At 38.7% G+C, this 23,205-nt stretch overlaps 1 protein-coding gene across 1 annotated transcript, besides 1 other annotated feature; it reads right to left on the reverse strand.

Moving 5' to 3' along the window:
• Positions 1-1,658: 1,658 nt before the first annotated feature.
• CMTM6 (CKLF like MARVEL transmembrane domain containing 6) lies at positions 1,659-23,199 on the reverse strand. The gene is made up of 4 exons (NM_017801.3): positions 22,955-23,199; positions 12,057-12,233; positions 8,285-8,383; positions 1,659-4,444 (listed from the first exon to the last, which is right to left on the reverse strand). The coding sequence occupies exons 1-4, from the start codon at positions 23,090-23,092 to the stop codon at positions 4,307-4,309; spliced, it is 552 nt and encodes a 183-aa protein (NP_060271.1). The 5' UTR covers positions 23,093-23,199; the 3' UTR covers positions 1,659-4,306.
• Positions 22,910-23,139: a silencer, noted in NCBI's record as "silent region_14173". NCBI's record gives its function as "represses an Ori minimal core promoter by ATAC-STARR-seq in GM12878 lymphoblastoid cells {active_cell/tissue: GM12878}" and the evidence as "EXISTENCE:reporter gene assay evidence [ECO:0000049][PMID:35858748]".

Here is a 23,205-nt window from a genome sequence, read left to right on the forward strand (position 1 = left end):
ATGTGCACAAGAAGAGATGTTCAAATACATTTGTTCCCTGTAATGTTAAGATGGTCAAAAGCTGAAAATGCTGTTAGAATTTTTCTATCAGTAGGAGAATAAGTAAATTGTGACATATCCATACAATGAAATACCAAACAGCATTTAAAATGAATGAACCAGAGTTACAACCTTGAAGCAAATATGGCAAAATGTTATAATCTATTAAAGGTGAGTGAGTGGAGTCTACAACAGGTATTATCCTCTGTGCTTCCAGTACTTGAAATATTTCAGGCCAGGCGCCGTGGCTCATGCCTGTAATCCCAGCACTTTGGGAGGCAAGGCAGGTGGATCACCTGAGGTCAGGAGTTTGAGACCAGCCTGACCAACATGGTGAAACCGCATCTCTACTAAAAACACAAAAAAATTAGCAGGGTTTGGTGGCATGCGCCTGTAATCCCAGCTACTCAGGAGGTTGAAGCAGGAGAATCGCTTGAACCCGGGAGGCAGAGGTTGCAGTGAGCCAAGATGGCGCCACTGCACTCCAGCCTGAAGGATAGAGCAAGACTCTGTCTCCAAAACAAACAAACAAATTCAAAAATTTTAAAAAGTAGCTAAATATAAAAATGTTGGGGAAAAGACAATACTTCTCCCCCCACCCCGTTGTTTTTTTGTTTGTTTGTTTGTTTTTTTGAGATGGAGTTTTGCGCTTGTTTCCCAGGCTGGAGTGCAATGGCATGACCTCGGCTCACTGCAACCTCCGCCTCTGGGGTTTGAGCGATTCTCCTGCCTCAGCCTCCAAAGTAGCTGGGGTTACAGTCATGTGCCACCACACCCAGCTAAATTTTGTATTTTTACTAGAGATGGGGTTTCACCACATTGGCCTGGCTGGTTTCGAACTCCTGACCTTAGCTGATCCGCCTGCCTTGGCCTCCCAAAGTGCTGGGATTACAGGAGTGAGCCACTGCGCCCAGCCTCCCCCTTTATTATATCAATTTCTATGACACACATTACTGTACTTGTAGAAAAATTTGGCCACTGAATTCACCAATGTACCCAGATGTCTTATGAAATAAGTTTTTCTTACTGTTTAAGACACATTTAATTAGATTTTCTGCTTCTTGCAGCTTATTGCATATTGATACAATGCTCTTTATCAAAACAAAACTCAACTCTAAACTCTGAAGAATGTACAAATTCCAGTGAGTTCTTGATGACTATAAAGACCCTGTTATTCTCACACAGGGTGGAGGCAGGAATTTCGCAAACTACACAAATAGCTGTAGTTTTACCAGCACCACCCTAATAATTTTGCTTCACACTTTCCCAATCATTGAACAGTTCCTAAGATAATGTGCCTATTTTGTTTTTAGCATTGTTAGCCACATCTAGAAATGTGACAAGGAGTCTAAATTGCTTCTTTGGAAGTATTTAAAGCCATTTGTAAGTCTTCCTCTGTGGTTCCCTAAAAATGTTGTTTAAATGTGTATTCTAACTTTCCAACAAGAGGGACAGTTTATGGATGGGAAATGGATTTGTTTCTTTTCTATCCTAGATATATCTAAAATCTAGTATTCTATATAGGCACTCAACAAGATTGTGCAGCCAACTCCCACAACTACAGAGACAGCTTTTCATTTAAACATCACACTTCTGTAATAAACACTTACAAAGGTAAGAACGTTTTAATTAAATGGATTTATTTAAAAAGACTATAAAATCTGACATCAAGAGAGATAAAAAAAAAAGACCCATAAGATTTAAATTGACAAATATAAAATGATTGGCTACAATGTAAAAATACATTTCCCAGCCCCCAAACAAAACACAAGTATAGTAATTATAAAATTTTTGTACTGTGAGTTCATTTCTCTTATAATTCTTGAGAACCATTCTAAGCAATCTATTTGTATAAAATATAAAATTTATCATAACTGTTAATTTAAAAATTATTTTAAATTTGAGTTTATTGAATTTGCCATTTTTTTGTACATAACAGTGGTTTCTGGTCCCAAGTTCCCCTTGAACTTATTTACTACAATGGTCTTTTTACTCCTATTTATTTCCTTCTACAATAGAAAAGAAAGGCTAACCATTCATGGGTCCCATAAAAAACAATGTGAAGGAAGGTTCTAAGAGTGACCAAATATACCAGTGAACATACTATCTTTCTGAAAAAGAAAGAATTAAGTGACCAACTAAGAGATCCACTTTTGCACCAATGAAACACATGGAGGTGAAACCTCAGAACAAGCGGAGCTTAAGCTCAATGACAGTATGTTTTATATGACAGGCCAGCTGAGAATGTATCTGTCAATCCTGACTAAGCCCAATACATGGGTGGTGACCCTGAGGTAGCCCAGATGATATGCTCTGAATTTTAGATAGGTCTAAATCACAATGGTACAGTCTGATGTGAAACTTTAGTCTACCTACCATAAACTCGTTTTCTGAATCAGTCCTTATTCATAATTAGACCCAAAACCCAGCTATTTCTCCTCTCTTAGATGACATGCCCAATAAAAACAGCATCCATGATTGGTTTCATTATCTCCCAATTAAGTAGTGGTGACACCACCACTAACACTAGTATCCAAACTCTGATACAAATCCTAAAGGTATTGAGTCAGTAAGACAGAGCAGAAGCTATGTTGGGCCATACTGACCAATTTCTGAGAACCACATTAGCCACATTCATGCAATTAAAACCCATCTAAGACACACAAATGGCAGATGAGAAAAAAAAAAAAGGATGAGGTCATTAAACTTTATCACTGGAAACATGATTCCACTGTTTCAAATAGGAAACCTACCCTGGGAGACTTCCACCAAAGTGCAGAAGGACCTGATGCACGGGCTCATCATCTTAACACTAGAGTCCCAAGTCAAAACTCTAGGAGGAGGATAAGAAAGGTCTAGTCTGTGAATCACCTGGACAGAAAGGTCATATCCCAAGTGCCCTGCCTATCTGTGACAGCTGCTAGCCAACAGACAATTCTGGTTATGAAGTTATCTCTTGAGAATGGCTTGATTCTCTTATGCCACCAACAGTATTAGTCTGGGCAGGGTTCCCTGGATATTTACTTTTTTTTTTTTTTTTTTTTGCCAAAGACAAACTAGAGCAATGCCTATGTAAGAACAAGGACTCTCAAGATCCTGCTACACAGTATTCACAATCAAAAGGGCCCAAGATTCAGGACCACCTAAAGACAACTGACAAAAAGTGTCAGAGCCAGAGGCCAACCTCTGCTAGATGAAGCAGCAGCACATGACTCCATTTCTATCTGATAAGGAGACAGAGAAGAGGCATCTCGAACAGATGAAAAACCAAAGGCTGGTGTCCTAAAAAAAACAGATTGGCTTCAAAGAAAACACTAAGGAAGACCCACAGAGCTGTATTAATTTTAGTAAAAATAATCATATGCCAACAGGGGAATTGAACCACTTTCTAAATCATAGTATGAACTCATCTCTTCAGATACTTGGTAAGTGGTCAAAGCTTGTTTTTATAATTACTTTCACTGTCTTGGGCAAAAAGTCTTTCTTATCTTTGGTCCTTAGGTGTGGTATCAGTTTCTTCCATTTTTTTATGTGTTACAAAACAATCTTTTTTTTACTTGACATCAACAACCAAGGTGCAGTATAAACACGAAGTTGCTGATATTGTTGCTTTTATACACATAAAATACCAACATCTCCCATACATTTTATAGGCTATACGAAGGTCTCAAAGAATTAATAACCGTTATCCAAAAATATTATAACATTTAAGGCTGAGTGAAATACAGTAAAGCCTGGTAATATATGTTAAGGAAAAAAACCTAGACCAACATTTTAAATATTGGTTTCTTAAATATGTTAAATTCCCATTAACAGAACATAATCTAAGCATCAAAACAAACAGCTAAGCAAATTAATTTAAAAATAAAACAATTTCTAAGTAGATGAATATAATCACGATGTTTATACAGCTATAAAGCATAATTTGGAAGCTAAGCCTAGTAAAAGAATGACCTGTAACAGAATGACAGAATCATTTATCAACCGTTGAGCTGTGTGATTTAAAAACAATTGTTTTCTCCTCCTCCCACCAAAATCTCCATTTGAGATAAGTTTCAATTATTATTTAAAAAAAAATTTTTTTTAACTTATCTGGCCTACTTTGTGGTGACTGACACAATATTGATAAAACTGCCTTCTTGACCTTCCCCTTGCTCTCCAAAAGAAGTGGTTTAAACAATTAACAAATTTTACAAGAGCTTCTGCCAGGGCTCAGGCACCACAATGCAGGGTCACTACCTTAGGTAACATCTGCTCCCCAGAGTCTTTAGGCATTAAGTGGCTCAGTGAGGGCTTCAGCCCTAGTGGTATTTTCAGGTTTTCTCAGCTGGGACTCCTGTCGTTTTTCATACAGCATAGTGATAAAGTCAAGTAGGAACATAAAACTTGCTATAAATCCAAACACCTGAGGAAAAAAAGGAGGAAAGGTTATATGAGAATTTTGGAATATAATCTTACATTTCCTACTTGGCTTGGAGAATGTTTCATATAAACAAGATGTTCATGAATTTTATCTTATACACGACTACTCTTTAATGGTAAAAAAAATTTTTTTAAGTCATCAAAAAATGGAAAGAAGTTATAAAAGAAAAACTTCCAGAATAATGGCTATTAGTCAAAGTCTCACAAAATATTAATGTTCTGCCTTATGTGTGCATGTTTATATGTGGAGGGCTAATATATGAAAGTAGGGTTAACAGATAAACATTAAATCCTATAAAATGATACAAAACAAAAATATTTGCATGGTTAGATTGACCCACAGATGCGATAAGGAAAATACGTGACTAGGCAACTCAGCCTAGGTGAAAATGAAAAAAGTTATTAATATCAAAACAGAAATTCCATTTTGAAGATACTATTAGGTTAAATTACTTAAATAATGTTCCAGTTGTCACACTGCAATGACACAGTGACATGACGCCACTACCTACTTCCTCTTCCTTAAATCACTTCCTCAACTGTTCTCTTCTAAAATACGATCATACGTTCTGAGAATTCTATCAAGAGACAGAAGACCATGCGTCTGCTTCAAATTTAGCTTCTCCACTAGCAAAACCCTTAAGGATATGGGGGCCAGATAAGTTCTCTGTAAAAAAGAGAAAATTGATGTAGGTGATGGCTAAAGTCTCTTCCAAATCTAAACTCCCTATCTCCACGATTTTTATTAATAACATTCTCTTACAGTCTGTTGCAGTCTCCTGACCTCTCCTCCCCCCTCTAAAGAATAAGCATTCCACCTCATTTTACCACAAAGTAAACTGAGCTCCAAATTCATTAAGTCCCCCAGATATCCCCAACATATCCAATCTAAATTTAATTATCAACGCCTCCCACCCTCCCATCCCCCGCCACAAAAGCCAAGTCTTTTTCCCTCTGGAATCTTTATTTTTGACTTGATGGCATTTATCCCCTTATTTTCCTGGCAACTTTCTTAAATACATCAAACTCAGACCAAATGTCACCCTTGTTTTTGAAGCTGTCTCTGATCACCACAAGTCATCTTCTAGCTCTTTTGTTCACACACTTCTGAATTAAAAAAAAAAAAAGAACTTCCTCATGCATTTAAGTCTATAAAACTTTTCATAATTTAAATAGTTACAAAAGGTAATTTCCAGCATATTATAAATATCAGCTTTTTAAACTACCTGTCACTATTAAATATATCCAATGAAATATAAATACTGGGACAGTCTAATTAAAATATAAAAATTTTTTTTATAGCTGTAAATTTTTTCCCTGGAACTCAATTTTTCCTCAACTTCATTTCACTTTCCCCACAGAATTTTATAGTAATGTATTTTTATACAAATAAGTAGCCAGAGCTTTTTAAAATTAAAAATGAGTTAAAAAACTCATTATTTTATTGATCACCATCTCATACTCCTCTGCAACAAAAATGTTTCTAAACTGAAATTAACCATAAAGCCCTATTAAAACTTTGATTTTTCTCTTCTATTGGTTCATGTACCCATGAATAAATATTGCTTATTGCTAGAATGAATCAAGATTCAGTGTTAATTTTATTTCTATGTTTTGTTTTTACACATGTAAGTGCTAAGAAACTGTTGTCATATGAATAGATAAATATAGCCATGCAATTCTCTGAACTCCTTTTGAGTTTTCTATCATAAAATGCAGTTTTAATGATGTATTAGCTGACAACTCTATTAATTACAACTTCAATTTTGTTTTTGGTTTTTGAGATGGAGTCTCACTCTGTCACTTACACTGGAGTGCAGTGGCACAATCTTGGCTCACTGCAACCTCCGCCTCCTCGGTTCAAGCGATTTTCCTGCCTCAGCCTCTCGAGTAGCTGGGACTACAGGCGCCTGCCACCATGCCCGGCTAAGTTTTGTATTTTTAGTAGAGACAAGCTTTCACTATATTGGCCAAGCTGGTCTCAAACTTCTGACCTCCTGATCCGCCCGCCTTGGCCTCCCAAAGTGCTGGGATTACAGGCGTTGACCCACCACCCACCACGCCCGGCCTAACTTCAATTTTGTTAAAAACAAAGTATTAATTGGAAACCAGCTGACTTGCAAGATGATTTGTTGTCCAGTTGCTAGTCATTCAAGTTCACAGCACTGCTACCAGTCCAAGGCCATGATCCTTAATTTACAATTCCGAAACCCAAAGAACTACATTAACTCAAGGTTTTCATGATTCACTTGGCTCAAAATTGACACAAAGTAAGCCTATTTACATGGAGTAAGACTACTTAGTCTTTTCTTATCCCTTTTACTATAAATATTCATATGTTTTACTTCAGATATACCAATGTTAGATTACAGGGTACTGTCGCAGGCCCTCAAGTGGTGTTGTGTAATATAGCATATGTACAGCACTACCTTTCTAAAATCCAGAATATTCTGAATCCAAAAGAAAAAAATTCTGGCCCCAAGAATTTCAGAGAAAAATTGGATCTTTATTTTCAACTGTCTCTTTGTTGTACTCAAGGGTTTTTTTGTTTTACAATTCAGGGTAATCCACCATAATAAGTGATATGGCTTGGGTTTGTGTCCCCACCCAATTCTCATGTCAAATTATAATCCCCAATGTTGGGGGTGGAGCCTAGCTGGAAGTGACAGGATCATGGGGCAGACTCCCCCTCTGGCGCTGTTCTTGTAATAGTGAGTTACTGCAAGATCTGCTTGTTTAAAAGTGTGTAGCACCTCCCCACTCTCTCTATTCCTCCTGCTCTGGCCATGTAAGATGTGCCTGCTTCCGCCTCGCCTTCTGCCATGACTGTAAATTTCCTGAGGCCTCCCTTGCTATGCTTCCTATAGAGCTGTCAGAACCATGAGGCAATTAAACCTCTTTTCTTTATAAGTTACCCAGTGTCAGGTATTTCTATATAGCAGGGCAAGAAGGAACTAATCCAGCAAGATTCAGGACAAGCAAGTTTTTTTTCTTTTTGAGGGGCAAGGTAGGTGGCGACTGTGAATGGGAAGGTGGAAAAGTGCCGGTGAGACTCCTTCACCAGAGATAAATTCTCAGACATACAAGTTTTAAAAAAGATTACATATGGAGGTTTAAAAGCTGGAAATTAATTTCCTCAACACTATCTCTGCCTCATACTCCTTGAAAAGTCTGATGAAACTTTAAGGATATGTATAACCCACTGAAAACTGCTGTCTAGACCAACTTTTTTTTCTATTATTTTTTTTTTTCTTCTTATAGAGATGAGGTCTCACTATGTTGCTTGCCCAGGCTGGTCTTGAACTCCTGGCTTCAAGTGATTCTCTCACCTTGGCCTCCCAAAGTGCTGGGATTACAAGCCTGAGCCACGGCACCCAGTCTCAGAACAACTGCTATTGGTTCATTTAACAAACTCCATTACAATTTTACTTTTCCGTCTCCTTTTCTAGACTGAGTCTCTGAATCATTTCTCCCATATATTCTCCATACCTAGAAAACACCTGGCATGTAGGTGTGCATTTATTGAACTGAAAGTGGAGAAATATAAAATAATAAAGTCAATTTTACCACTTCCATTAGCAATAACACACGGTATGTGGAGTAAGTGGATTTTTTTTAAACAAAATTCAGTCAAATTCTATAGGCTCTAGGTTTTAAAGGCTATCATATTGATTTGCTTGTAGGTCTTCTATTCAAAATTACACTAAAAAGTAAGTTATAAGAAAAACAACTCTAACATGCTGTATAACTTGTCAAGTACTCTCCAAATTCCATATTTCTAAGGAAACAAAAATAAGCAATGTTAAAAATACAAGGTACTTACAATTGCAGCAATCTCAGCTGAAGTCCTGTCATGTGTGGAAACAAAAATGATGGATGCCAACAAAAACACACATCCTGTTCCCAAAGTAATATAAAAATCCTATGCATACATACAAAACACAAAAGGAATACAATACAGTTAGATTCATGGAAATGAACTTTTTCATTTTTAACTTTAAAAAGCTCTGGCTACTTACTTGTTTTTCTTGATACAACCCAAACTTACATACCCAAACTTCTAACTTTTCAATAAGCCTGGCATTCAATAAATACCCTGTAAAAAAACAGTATCCACACTGGGCTGGGATTATTGAGAGAACACATTACAAGATAAACTTTTAATAACAACAATCCCCTATGCCAGGAGAGGTGGCATGAGCCTGTAGTCCCAGCTAACTGGGACATTTTTTATTATCCAGTCCAAAAAAAGAAAAAAAAAAAAAAACAGTCCCGGAAAAGATCTCGTGTGTATCTCGTGCAAGTGTTTGTGTGTGTCCTCTTTTTCTCTGGGACATATTAAAATTATCTAAGCCAAAGCATTTATTACAATTCCATCTTACTTCCAGCAAAAAAGCATTTTTCTTTCCTTTCAAAGTATTTTATGGTAGGATGACATCTCTGAGAGCACTCCAATGCTTTGAAAGCACTTTCTAAAAGAAAGAATTTTAAAAACCACCCGTTATTAAATAGAAGTATGCCAATAGTGTGTTTTTTAGACACTGAAGCTTTCTGGAATAACACATTGCCTTCAACTGTTCCAAGTGGGTAATCTACAGTGAGCTTATATGATGAGTTTATCTACTACATAAAAGCTTCCATATCTTATCATAATGCAGCTTACAATCATGAGATGTTTCATGGGTTTCCAAGTGCTCTCTCAGGCATTACCTCACAAGGCTCTCATATGCCAACTGAAAACAGTAATGACATATATACTTGATTCAGAAAGGGAAACTTGGTAAAATGATAGCCACTCCAAAGGGTTTTAAGTCTGATACTTTTTGAGTTTTCTGAACTGCAAACTCCACTAAACCTAATATCAATAAAACTGGCCAGGCACGGTGGCTCACGCCTGTAATCTCAGCACTTTGGGAGGCCGAGACGGGCAGATCACGAGGTCAGGAGTTCGAGACCAGCCTGACCAACATGGTGAAACCCTGTCTCTACTAAAAATACAAAAAAAATTAGCTGGGCGTGGTGGTGGGTGCCTGTAGTCCCAGCTATTCTGGAGGCTGAGGCAAGAGAATCACTTGAACCCAGGAGGCAGAGGTTGCAGTGAGCCAAGGTCACACCACTGCATTCCAGCCTGGGCGACAGAGCGAGACTCCATCTCAAAAAAAAAAAAAAAAAAAATCAATAAAACTATTTAACACAGAATTCCTAAATTGTCAATCATTCACTTAACATTTATATAAAATGTAAGAGGTTTTCTTGCCGGGCACGGTGGTTCACACCTGTAATCCCAGCACTTTGGGAGGCCAAGACAGGTGGATCACCTGAGGTCAGGAGTTCAAGAACACCATGGCCAACATGGTGAAACCCTATCTCTATTAAAAATACAAAAATTAGCTGGGTGTGGTGGCAGGCACCTGTAATCCCAGCTACTTGGGAGGCTGAGGCAGGAGAATCACTTAAACCCAGGAAGCACAAGGTTGCAGTGAGCCGAGATCGTGCCATTGCACTCCAGCCTGGGTGACAAGAACGAAACTCTGTCTCAAAAAAGAAAAAAAAAAAAAGAGGTTTTCTCTGCTTCTAAAAGGTGTTTCCCTGTAGTACTTTATTTTTTAATCCTTTTGATTATTTCAAATTTATTACATATAAATATAAAATTCTATTTACTAATATTTGGAATACATTCAAGTTAATTGAAACAAGACAATCATTTTTAGACCATAATGTAGTGTTCAATAAACGGGTTCTAGAGCCAGTCTACCTGAGTTCAAATCTGAGCTATACCACTAATAAATGTAAACGTCCCAAAAATGTTGGCTACTGTTGTTCTTAATAGACTCCGACTGCAATAGCATGGGATAGAAGACATTCTCTCTTAAAAAATATTATTCCTTTGGGAGGCCGAGGTGGGCGGATCACCTGAGGTCAGGAGTTTGAGACCAGCCTGGCCAATATGGCGAAACCCCATCTCTACTAAAAGTACAAAAATTTGCTGGGTGTGGTGGCACACGCCTGTAATCCCAGCTATTCGGGAGGCTGAAGCAGGAGAATCGTTTGAACCCGGGAGGTGGAAGATGCAGTGAGCTGCTATTGCGCCACTGCACTCCAGCCTGGGTAACACAGCAAGACTTCTCAAAAAAAAAAAAAAAGTTATTCTTCTTTAGGCACCACCAGTACCACACACTCAAAACACATTCCTCTAAAACAGAAAACCTCTCTTGCATGAAAAAATATTTAAAACCTAAGTGTATTAATATGCAGACAGTAAAAAGTGATTTTGAAACCCTGCAAACAAACATGAAATCCTTATATTAGGTAAAAAGTAGAATATATGTTCTATGATTACAAATATTTTAAATTTTAAAACTATGAATGGAATAAAAAGACTTGAAAGGAATACAGCAAAATAATACAAAAGCTATTTTAGGATGGACTAATTTTTCTTTTTTCTCAGTATTTTTAAACCAGTATTTACTCTAAAATGACTTTTTAAATGCTCAAGTTTGATATAATAAAGGTTTTACTTTTTTTACGTTACACCATTATACTACACTGGACAATATTATAATACCATTTCTTGTCAAAATGATCAGTGTGCTTTAAACACTACAGATGCAGCATTAAAATAAAAACTAAACATTTCTAAAAATATTTTTATGGTGATATTGTTTCACTGTTAAGAAATGACAAAATGATTTCAATCTGTAATTTTTTTAATATAAATTTTTCCAGCCAGAATTTGGAATATATACATTTTTTTTTACACATTCAAACTATAAATCAACCAGCTCAGACACTTGAGAACTTTTCCCTAGTCCAAATCTTATGGCATATTAATCTGTAAAAAAGAAAAATGTCCAAAGACTACAAATATAATTAACAAAAATTCTAAGGATTATCTGTATCCTCTTAATATATATTTCATAAAACAAATGAGTCCTGTTGTCATTGTCATAGAAATTCCTATAGTGATGGCATTAGCCATGACAGCACCTCAAGATGGTAGGGCATTGGTTCTAACAGGATTCTGCTCCTAGCAAACTAACACAGGAACAAATGCATTCTTAATTCACTTATAGACAACTTTTCATAATACCATTAAAGCAAAATATAGGAAGAATTACATGTTGTTTTATTTTCCCCAATCACTGAAGCTTTAAGCTTTAAATGTTGTTTTATTTTAAAGCTCCAGAAATATTTCACATTAGTTCATTACTCTATCTCCAATGTCTAGCATATAAATGCCTGGCATATAATAAAGGCACACAATTAATAATTGTAGAACCAATGAGTGACACTCAAAAGTGAGAAATCAGAAGTGACAAAATCCTAGGCTTTTTTAAGTCTAATGTGAATTACATTAAACCACCAATAACTGTAAACTATTGGCAGTGTCTGTCACTCTCATTCTAATCTCACTTTCCCTCTCTACCATCCCCTTGGTAGGAAAAAATGAGGTGCTTAGAAGCAGAGCGAGTTGGAACAAGGGATACTGTCTTTTCATGTTGCTGAGTTTTGAAAACATTACTGCTTTGAACAATAAAATTATGCCAGATTACAAAACAGCTATTAATACAGGGATGATATTTTCTCATGCTTACCGATGATTTTACTTTTGTGGTATCAACTCTCTCATAAAATGGAGTGCAATACACAATCAGTATAAGGAGACTCAGAAGAAAGGCACTGCAGCTTACAAACTCAAAAAAATAAAGTCCTCCACATAAAGTACATTGTGATACAACTTCTTCACAGATGAAGGCCAGCAGAGACAGCAACTACAAATGAAGCAAAACATTTTACTTAAGTGTTTTTTCAGAGAATCTACAGTATTTAGAAAGCTGTTTCTGAATAATACGTTTACTCAAATATTTACAATGAGGAGACTATGGCAAACAAGATTAATGAATAAACCTTATCTACACAGAACTTACAGTTTGGCCGCCTTGAAGGAAATACAGGTAAATAAAGAATTAATTAACCTATCGTGTACTAATGCCAGCAAAGGGGAAATATATAATATTGTTATAAAAGCACACAGGAGAGACGCTCAACTGCGGGGTCAGGAAAGGCTTCCTGAAGGAGAAAGCTGAGACCTGAAGAACAGAGTCAGTTTGGGGGATGAAAGATTAAGGAAAGAAATTCCCAGCAGAGAAGCAGTATATAGAAAGGCCAGAAATGAGGGAGCATGGCACCTGCCCTCTGACCCAACATACAGACAACACACACCCCGACCTCCAACTTAACTGTCAAAGTGAGTCAAATCAACATGGCTTAAGTATAGAGTTTAAGGGAAGAGAATGGCAGCACAAAAATTAGTATATGAGGCTAGAGAGGTAAGCTGAGGCCAGATCTAAATGTCCTCGTTAATTAAGAGTCTGGATTTTAAAGTAAAGGTTGACAATGATCAGGTGTATGCTTTCAGTAGTTCTCACTGGCTACAATATGGAGAAGGGACCAGAGGTAAGGCAAACCTTGGGGCGGACATCCAACTGGGAAGCTGATGTAGGAAATCAGGGCAAATAATAGCGACTAGGGAGCAGCAATAGAGAAGAGTGGCAATCACTGAGAGATGCAGCAGAAGCTCTTATCAGACAAGATGCAAAAGCTCATATCAGACAAGATGCATACAAATAATATGGAACACAAGATAACACATGTGTACCTTAAACATTTTAACTTAAAAACGCACATTTATTAACAATCTGCTGAAGTGAGTATTTTCTTTATGGGTCTACTGACGAATTCCACATGTTTTCTGCATTAATCACTTTCATCATCTATGGACTACTACTTCCAGACTGATGTTATCTGAAGTGAAGTGAGATCTTAAACACTTGAGAAACAGAGTTCAGAATCTTTCTAGAGTCAGACTATTTTACCAGCCTTTTACAGTTGCCTTGCTCTTCCTTAATTCCATGGCAGATAAATCTTGTAGTAAGTTATCTTTCAGTCTTTCCAAAGCATTCAATTTAGTTTTAAAGAAACAATTCATTTTAACACTCAGTTTCAGCTTTGTAATATTTAACTGTATGGCCATAAAAGTATAGTTAGCATAAACCAGTATGGGAACAACACAACTCAACTGATGACAGAAGCAAGAGTTCTAGAGTGCTAATGAGATGCCTACTGGCCATGGCAGGCTGTGGGTGACTGGTGTGAGGTCAGGATGCTTGGTATGGTGAGTGGAGAATGTTAACTCTGGTTAAATTGGCAACTCAATTACACGCAAGTGGGTTTTAACTACTTCCAACTGCTGTATATGTGGTACTAACATACTGGTCCTCACTGAAAAAAGAGTCAGGTTTTTTTCTTTTTAAAAGGCAAGGGTGCTAGGGAGAGAAGAAATTCAGTTTTAAATATGCTGTGATTGAGGAGGTCTGTGGAAGAGTTTGGTGAAGATGTAGTTGGAAAGCAAATGAATATAAGGTCTGGAGCTCAAAGGAGAGGTCTAAGATGCAGATAAAGATGTGGGAGCTGGCAGAGTGGGAGGGTGAGATGACTCAAATGAGGAAAGATAGCCTTATGTGGAAATCTGAGGAATCTGAAGATTTACGGGATATGCAGAGGGGAAGAAACCAGCAAAGGACAACTAGCAGCAGCAATCAAAGGGGTAGTAAACAAGAAAAAAGTATTTACACACACATGCACAAACACACAAGTAATCAAGAGTGCTAAATGCTACTTAAAGGTCAAGTAAGAACAACACTGAAACACCTACCTTAGACTGAGCTATAAGAAGGTTGCCAGTGACATTAGCAAGAAAAGTTCCAGGGTAGTCAGGGAGAGAAGCTCGATTACAATACTGTATATTGGGAAGTAAGGGGAGGGTAAGGCAGTGAAGGAGAGACAGCATAGGCAATAAGTGTGGCTGGGAAAGAATGGCCAGATAGGGCAGTAGTGGATGAGGTCAAAGAGAAGGGAATTTCAACATGGGAGAACTGAGCATGTTTAAATACTTAGGCAGAAACCAGTAAGATGGGTGGGTCTAAAGACATAGGTAGAAAAATGGCTCTCTAAAGATAGGATTCAGGGCTCAGGTTTGGGGCTAACTCTTCTCTAGAAATAGAAGGGAAGAGAGTGAAGAAGAGTATTTTGCTTGGGCAGTTTGTGTGGGTTTTGTGGAAGCTGAGGGAATTTCCTGCTGAGGGCCGAAACCATCAAAATGACTGATGACCTAAGTCAGAGGCTAAAGGGAATTCCCTTCTCACTCCAGTCAGGCCAGTAGAAGCAACCAGACAGGTTAATGGCAACAAGATTGCTACCAAAATCAACAGATACATTTCATAGTAATAGTAAATATCTTATCCTACAAAACATTTTCATTAAAAAGGGACAAACAACAGTTCAGCGGTTTCTTTAAAAACTAAGCATATATCTACCATATGACCCAGAAATAGAACTCTTGGGCAACTATCTCAGAGAAATGAAAACTTAACATTTGTACAAAAACCGGTACGTGAATGTTTATAACAATTTTATTCATAGTAGCCCCAAACTAGAAACATTCCAGATGTCCAATGGTTAAAACAAACTGTGGTACATCCATACCATGGAATATTAGCAATAAAAAGGAGCAAACTTGATATATGTAATGTCCTAGATGAATCTCCAGAGAATTATTCAAAGGAAAAAAAAAATCCAATCTCAAAAGGTTACATATTGCATGATTCCATTCATAGCCCATTCTTAGAATAATAAAAATAATAATGATGGCTAACAAATTAGTGGCAGCCAAGAGAAAGGGGAAAGGTGTGGCTACAAAGGGGTAGCACAGGGAAGCCTCTGCTGATGGCACAGTTCTGTGTCTTGATTGTGGTGGTAATTATAGAAAGCTATCCACATGGTAAAATTACATAGAATTACACACACATGCACATACAAATGTGGGACCTCCCTGTACTTTTTTTTTTTGCAATTCCTGTGAATCTATAATAATTTCAAAATAAAAAGTTAAAAAATAGTAATTCAAATCTATACTGGTATCCAAACCTTTAAGGGATTTCCTCTCCCTTCTACTGGCTATACAAAATGTATACATCCCCACAACTGCAAAGAATTTATATAAAAGAAAAAAAATAGTCTAATTGTAACATGAATGGTTACATTCTCTGATTTCCTGTAAGTTAGTGAAGCATGAAATAGCCCAGCATGTCCCAAACAACTTCCTTCAGACAGGTGTTAGGTAAGGCATTCCCAATCATTACACCACAGGATATAAAGTGACAACACCAAGATAAATCCCAGAGGGCCACTGTGTAAAGATACTTCCTTAGTCTCCTATAATCATACTTACAGGATGAGTTCTAACATGACTATAGTCTAATAAAATACTAAATATCTAACATTTCACTTGCCTTTTTCTTGCCTCTATGTTAAATCTTGTCCAAGTTTTAAAAGTTTCTCTCTGAGAAATTTACAAAATATACCTCGGTTGTATAAAAGTCAATTAACTGAGAGAAGATACCAGCCTAAAACTCTAATTAGGGTCTGGGAATAGCTGAACCACTCATTTTACAATTAGACTATTAGGCACACTCATGTGTGAAGGCTATATGGCAATAAAAGGTTATCTGTAGGACAGACATAGGCTGCTTGTCTACTTTCAGTAAAAAAAGACAGGATCCAGCTTGTCCAGAAGCAGTCAGTCTCAAGTCATTACAAGTCCTATTCCAAACGTATTAACAGGTGGCATTCCTACTGACCTTACTGACCTATTGCCTCAGAGCAATAGCAGGAAGCAGGTTCTGCCTGGACATCTTAAGAGAATCAAGGAGTACAATATTAAGTATGGACATCTGGCAGGGCACAGTGGCTCACACCTGTAATCCCAGCACTCTGGGAGGCCAAGGCGGGCAGATCACTTGAGGCCTTCTGGCCAACCTGGTTCAAGACCAGCCTGGCCAACATGGCAAAACCCCATCTCTACTAAAAATAGAAAAATTAGCTGGGCATGGTGGCGCATGCCTGTAATCCCAGCTACTTGGGTGGCTGAAGCATGAGAATTGCTTGAACCCAGGAGGCAGAGGTTCCAGTGAGCCAAGATGGCGCTACTACACTCCAGCCTGGGTGACAAAGCGAGACTATCTCAAAAAAAAAAAAAAAAAAAGTGTGGACATTTACTAGCTCCCATCTCAAGTTAAAGGCCAACAAATTGGCACTACAAGCTATAGTCAATATGAAATTCTGTCGGCCAGATGCGATGGCTCACATCTGTAATCCCAGCACTTTAGGAAGCCAAGGCGGGAGGATTGCTTGGACTCAGGAGTTTGAGACCAGCCTGGGCAACATGGTGAAACCCCATCTCTACCAAAAAAAAAAGAAAAAAAATTCTCTGCCTACCCATCTCTGAGGCTACTAACCTTTGTAAGCTCCCACAGCATTATGCAATTGCTAGCTCAAAGTGTACTTGAACTAGCAACACTCCAACACTGTTCTACGTATAGGAAGATACAAATGATGGAGTAATAAGCTCAATGTACAAGAAACAATAATAACAATATATTTTATACCACATTAACTGAGCATTCATTATATGTAGGTTAGAAAATCTCAAGAAAATGTTCGAAGGAGCCGGAGAAGGATGAGTGGAAAAGCAGGACTCAAACCAGGCAGAGACACAAACAGAACCTGGATAGACAGAGGACATTCTAATTCTAGGTGGAGGATGAAAAAGAACATATTCATAAGGGCAAGAATTTGCATAGTAAATCCAAAAATGATAATAAGGCAACTGACCTAACTGGATGGGGATGAAGAAAAAAATGGTTTAGGAGTTGGGTGTGGTTGTGTGATGATCATGCAAGGGAATATGGATGTTTAGATGAAGGCAGGAGGGAACACCTGTCTGGTTTAGTAGGTTAGAAAACAGGAGGAACAGAGGATTGGGTGGGGCCTAAAGGAATTCTACAGTTCCGAGTGTAGGAGGGAAAAGAGCAACTAACTTCTTATCAGCAAGCCACAGGAAGTGTTTTTAAAAAAAGAAAACTCCTACACCGGGCGCGGTGGCTCACGCCTGTAATCCCAGCACTCTGGGAGGCCGAGGTGGGCGGATCACGAGGTCAGGAGATCAAGACCATCCTGGCTAACATGGTGAAACCCCGTCTCTACTAAAAATACAAAAAAAATTAGCCGGGCGTGGTGGCGGGCGCCTGTAGTCCCAGCTACTCGGGAGGCTGAGGCAGGAGAATGGCGTAAACCCAGGAGGCAGAGCTTTCAGTGAGCCGAGATCGCACCACTGCACTCCAGCCTGGGCAACAGCGAGACTCTGTCTCAAAAAAAAAAAAAAAAAAGAAAGAAAAAACTCCTTAAAAAGCAGCAAGTAAACATACTCCAAACTGTTACTCATACCGTGACACCTGGTAGTGTGAGGGGTGGGAAAGTGGTTTTATTTTAATATTTTTAGTTGATTTTTTTTTTTTTGGTAAGCAGACACTTTCTTGTATTAAAAAGAAAAAAGTGTAAAAGTTGGCCGGGCGCGGTGGCTCACGCCTGTAATCCCAGCACTTTGGGAGGCCAAGGCGGGTGGATCACGAGGTCAGGAATTTGAGACCAGCCTGGCCAACATAATGAAACCCCGTCTCTATCAAAAATACAAAAATTAGCCGGGCATGGTGGTGCACGCCTGTAGTCCCAGCTACTCAGGAGGCTGAGGCAGGAGAATTGCTTGAACCTGGGAGGCAGAGGTTGCAATGAGCCGAGACTGCACCACTGCACTCCAGCTTGGGTGACAGAGCGAGGCTTCGTCTCAAAAAAAAAAAAAAAAAGTGTAAAAGCTGAAGGAACAATTTCGAGAAATGAGTGGTCACCAGCATTAAATGCCAAAGTGGTCAAAAATAGGAAGAGAGAAAAAATGTCACTGAATTAGCTAAGAAATTCATGGTAAACATAACCCATAAGTAAAAAGGCTCAATTATTATTTTTTGGTAAACAGTTTTGTTCTTAATAGCATGAAGTCATCATACTAAATATTGCTTACTGAATATTAAGCTAAGTACTTAACAACTGTATACCCAATGTAACTCCTTCTAATGACATAAAATTTTACCCAAATATAATTAAGAGAATTATCAAGCTTTTAATGTCAGGAGGGCCCTTAGCGGATATAGTCTCCCACTCCCACGTTTACAAAGATGGAATTAAGCTACTGACAGGTTAAGCCCCAAGTTAGCTCGGCACAGACAAGAACCCAAGTCTCTGACTCCCACTCTGTACTTCCTCTCTCCCCATGAAATACTGTTTGTTAAATTCCTTTTACGAGTATGTATGTTTGTGTAGGTCTTCCCTGTAAGACTGGCTTTTTGAAGTTAAACCCACAGTTCTGTATATTTCCTTTAATGTATTAAATCATACATTAAAAACAATTTGCTAACATCAACAGATTTGGGAAGTCTCAGTGACTAAAACATGATCTTACAGTTCTGGTGATTTAAACACTGGATAATTACTATCCTGCCTCTATCTCTCCATTTCAGTTTCACTACCCCTTCTTTTTTTTTTTTTTTTTTCTGAGATGGAGTCTCGCTCTGTTGCCAGGCTGGAGTGCAGTGGCACGATCTTGGCTCACTGCAATCTCCACCTCCTGCCTCAGCCTCCTGAGTAGCTGGGATTACAGGTGCACGCCACAATACCCAGCTAATTTTTGTATTTTTAGTAGAGACGGGGTTTCACCATGTTGGCCAGGATGGTCTCTATCTCCTGACCTTGTGATCCGCTCACCTCGGCCTCCCAAAGTGCTGGGATTACAGGCATGAGCCACCGCACCCGGCCTCAGTTTCACTACCTTTTCTGAAATTTCAAGTGTTCCTTAAAACGGTCACTATATTAAATACGAATTCTCCATTAATTTAACAGTCTACTACTTATATTTTATAAAAAGAACTTTTAAATGTTTGCCATTAATTATAAAGCTCCATCTACAAAATGATATGAATTATAAATTAATGAACTTTACTATTAAAAACTTTGTAGTTATAAGTAAAGTTCAAATTTAAAAATCCATTGGTCTGAAGAAACAGGCCAGGCCTCCCTTGCCTTAGGCAAATATTTACTCTTACAAAGGTTCAGATATAATTTGCTGACATTACGGGATCTTCCTCAAGGTAAAAATAGAACATTTCAATTTACTATACATCAGTTTTCATATTTAAATAATGAAAAGAGCATCAATATAAGAAATGCTTCCAAGTAATCTGTTTCTTGGTACTTATAGGGTAACATTATTTATAATGTAATATATTGAAAAATCACTGGCGATTTCTAAAACTGCTTGCCAGATGAGCGACTAGAATTCCAGTACTGTGCAGCTATCAGGATAGTCAACTGACAGCATGGATACAATGTGGAGCTTGTTGCACAGAAAATTCCACATATTTAGGTCACTGCACCAGCGTATCAGCAAGCAATTAGGTTACCAAACGTCAATTCTCCCCTTAAAACAAAAACTCCCTCAAAAACATTCACAAAATAAAACATGAACATGTGGACAAATCTAAGGATAGTATAAACTGAAAAACTGCATAAAGTTAGGACTCCAGTAACTCCTTACACTAAATTCTCAACTGAGTATTTCTTCTTAAGCTCTGGAAGGGTGGATGGTAGTTGGGGGATGCTTAGGGTTTTAACAAAACTTAGGTCATATCTAAATGGCAGACACAGCTATGTTAACTTCAAGAGATAGAGAAGTTACGTTCTTTTATCTCTAATCTCCTCTGTGTACAGGCTCCACTCTCTATCCCTTCAATATTCAATTCAGTTCTGTAATAGCAAACCCCATGGAGCCTCAGAGGTTTGAAAAAAAAAAAAAAACCTTAAGAGTGCAAAGAACCTCAGAGGTAATTCAATTCAACCTCCGAAGACTCTAATGTAAGAATTTCCTAAGTATATACACAATGTCTGGTTTTTAAGTTTTAGAGCAGGCTTTTCTCTTGTAGGATCTTTGAGATTCTGTTAAGATTTATGGGTCCAGAATAATATACTCAAACATATAAGTGTACAATATTTTGAATAAAATTTCACAGGGTTTGCAGGTCCCTTGTTAAAACACCTCCTCTTCTGATTACGGGTTTCTCCATTACAGTTGTTTCCTTACTGGAGCTCGCAATTCTGTTTAGTTTTTTAAAAAAATTAAACATTTAAAGTAAAACAACCAATCTATCTAAAGGAAGAATTTGAGTTAAGGCAAAGACCTTGCCTATAGCCCCAGGCTGGAAGACAACTTTTACCGACTTCATATGTAACCTTCTTGGGACTTGCTGGATAATTCCTGTAATATACTGTTACTGTGAAGAGATAAGACATTATCAAAACAAACAAAGGAACAAAAAGACAACCATCAAAGTGAAAGGCAGTAATGAAAAAGTACTTTTAAATCTCCACATTAAAGAAAGCATTCCTGTAACATGACAATTTCCCCATAAACAAATAAATGGATTTCATAAAGAGATATTAGTTTTTATTTTTTCTCCATTTCTTCTTATGAATGATGGAGAACTAATAATAGTCTAACGATCTTTTAAGGCAAATTCATCTTCTCTGTGTCCAAGTATAACATTTACCACAAAAATTTCTGGTTGTGTTCCATGTTTTCTTCTATAACAGCAATAAGGAAGGAAACTGGTTATGTTCTATTCCAAAGATACGAAACTACAGTTTACTAAACTATAAGAAGGTAATCAGAAAATTTACTTTAGCTTTGCCACTTTTTATTAGAAAGAAAATAATAAAGGCAACTGAAAACAGGAGATTTTGTGGGCAGCAAACCAATACAGATGATTTTTTTCGAGCAGCAAGAATGCTTCAGATGGGCTGGGCGCAGTGGCTTACGCCTGTAATCCCAGCACTTTGGGAGGCCCGGAGGGCGAAAATCACCTGAAGTCAGGAGTTTGAGACCAGGCTGGTCAACACGGCGAAACCCCGTCTCTACCAAAAAAAAAAAAAAAAATCAGCCGGGCATGGAGGTGCGTGCCTGTAGTCCCAACTACTCGGCACGAGAATTGCCTGAACCCGGGAGGCGGAGGTTTCAGTGAGCCGAGATTGCGCCACTGCCCCCAGCCTTGGCGATAGAGCAAGACTCGGTCTCAAAAAAAAAAAAAAAAAAAGCTTCAGATGAATATTCTTTTCTGTTCTAAAGAGTTCTACTATTCACGTAGAAAATTTTAGCTTTACTGCAGAGAAATACAGCTAATACCTAAAAATCATCATGTGACAGCTGACAAGAGAAGAGAAGGAAGAAGGAAGAAGGTAGAAGGAACAGCTTATGCAAAGGAACAGTGGCAGGAAAGAGCCCCTGATGCCTCGTAATAAATTAAAGGTGGCCAGTGTGGAACCACCTAGAGGGAGACTGGGAGAAAGATAAGGCCAGATCCTACTGGGTTCCATAGGCCACATTATCACTTGCTTTCAAATGATTTCCCAGTCATCAGCAGATGTGATCATTTTGATCGCTAAACAGCAGTGCCGATTTTCCGACTTCTGTTTTTCTATTCAATAAAAGTAGGTCACTAGAGTTCTAAGAATTTAACTTCGGGTCATTTGAGTTGTAAGAATTTAAGTTCTTTCCAAGGAAACCAATGAGCTAATTTTTACTTAGAATGGTTAAAAAACAAAACAAAGTAAGACAAAACTCATAAACATCATAAGCATTCGGATTTTTCCTAAACTGGTTCTATTGCAGAAATAGAACCTAAACTGTTTCTATTTTTCCTAAACTGGTTCAACCATCAGTGGTTGGAACAGTACATAGGAGCCAACACGACTGTAAAGTGAATAATTTAAATCTCAAAGATGCTTTGATGTTTTCACGAACAGGTTTATGGTACTTCAACTGCTTAAAATAAACTCAATAAAATGGAAAGATGCATACCATGTCCTAGTTCAGCTATCCGCACATACTTACAAAAAGCTGTCCTTTTGACTTTCCACTTAGAACCCATATTGCTCAATTTTGAAATAATTCTTTTCCAGTCAATATAAAACTTTTAGAAGACAATTTACCGGACACACATACACACACATCTCAATGCCACGCGTGGTATCGCAGGACTTTGTCCAGCAAGTTAAACTGCCCCCATGGGCTCGCAGCAGGAAAACCGCAAGAGCCAGAGAAAGATAAACAGCGCTTCACAGTCTAAATACAGGCACTGTGGGCGATAATGCAGGGTAGCAGCAGAGAGAAGAGAGGAAAGTCGCCATAGAGGATGAGTGAAAGATGTTGAAGTGGCTGACTTGGGTCTCCGACGCATTTCCTGAGCCCGCCTAACAGGCTGGGTGGCCCCAGTTCGTGGGATCCCGATGGGGAGAGCCTTGGGACTGAGGGGCCGCCCGGCGGAAGGGCGGAGGGTAACGCCCCCTTCCCCAGGCTGAGAGGGAAGGAACTAGAGGTGTGGAAACCTCCTTTTACTGAACAACCAAGCTGAAACGAAGGAGCTCGGCGGCCTCCCAAGCCCGGGCCAGACCCCGCTCCCCAGCCCGGGCTCGCCCTCCCTGACCGCGGACTCACCAGCTGCAAGCCCTTGAGAACGCGCCGGAGCAATGGGAGCCGGCCCATGAAAAAGTAGGCAGCGAGGCCGCTCCGGGGGCCTCTGGCGGGGCCCGGGTCCTCCTCCGTAGTGGGGCTGTACACCGCTCCGTTCTCCATCGCCTCGGGCCGGGGAGCGCGGCGGCCGCAGCAACCGCGCCGTTGACTTCTCGGACTCCAGAAGTCCCCGGTAGCCGGGAGGCGGCCGTCACTTCCTGGGCCTTCTCCCCGGC

This window comes from Homo sapiens, chromosome 3 (genome assembly GCF_000001405.40).
Source record: "Homo sapiens chromosome 3, GRCh38.p14 Primary Assembly".
NCBI lineage: Eukaryota > Metazoa > Chordata > Mammalia > Primates > Hominidae > Homo > Homo sapiens.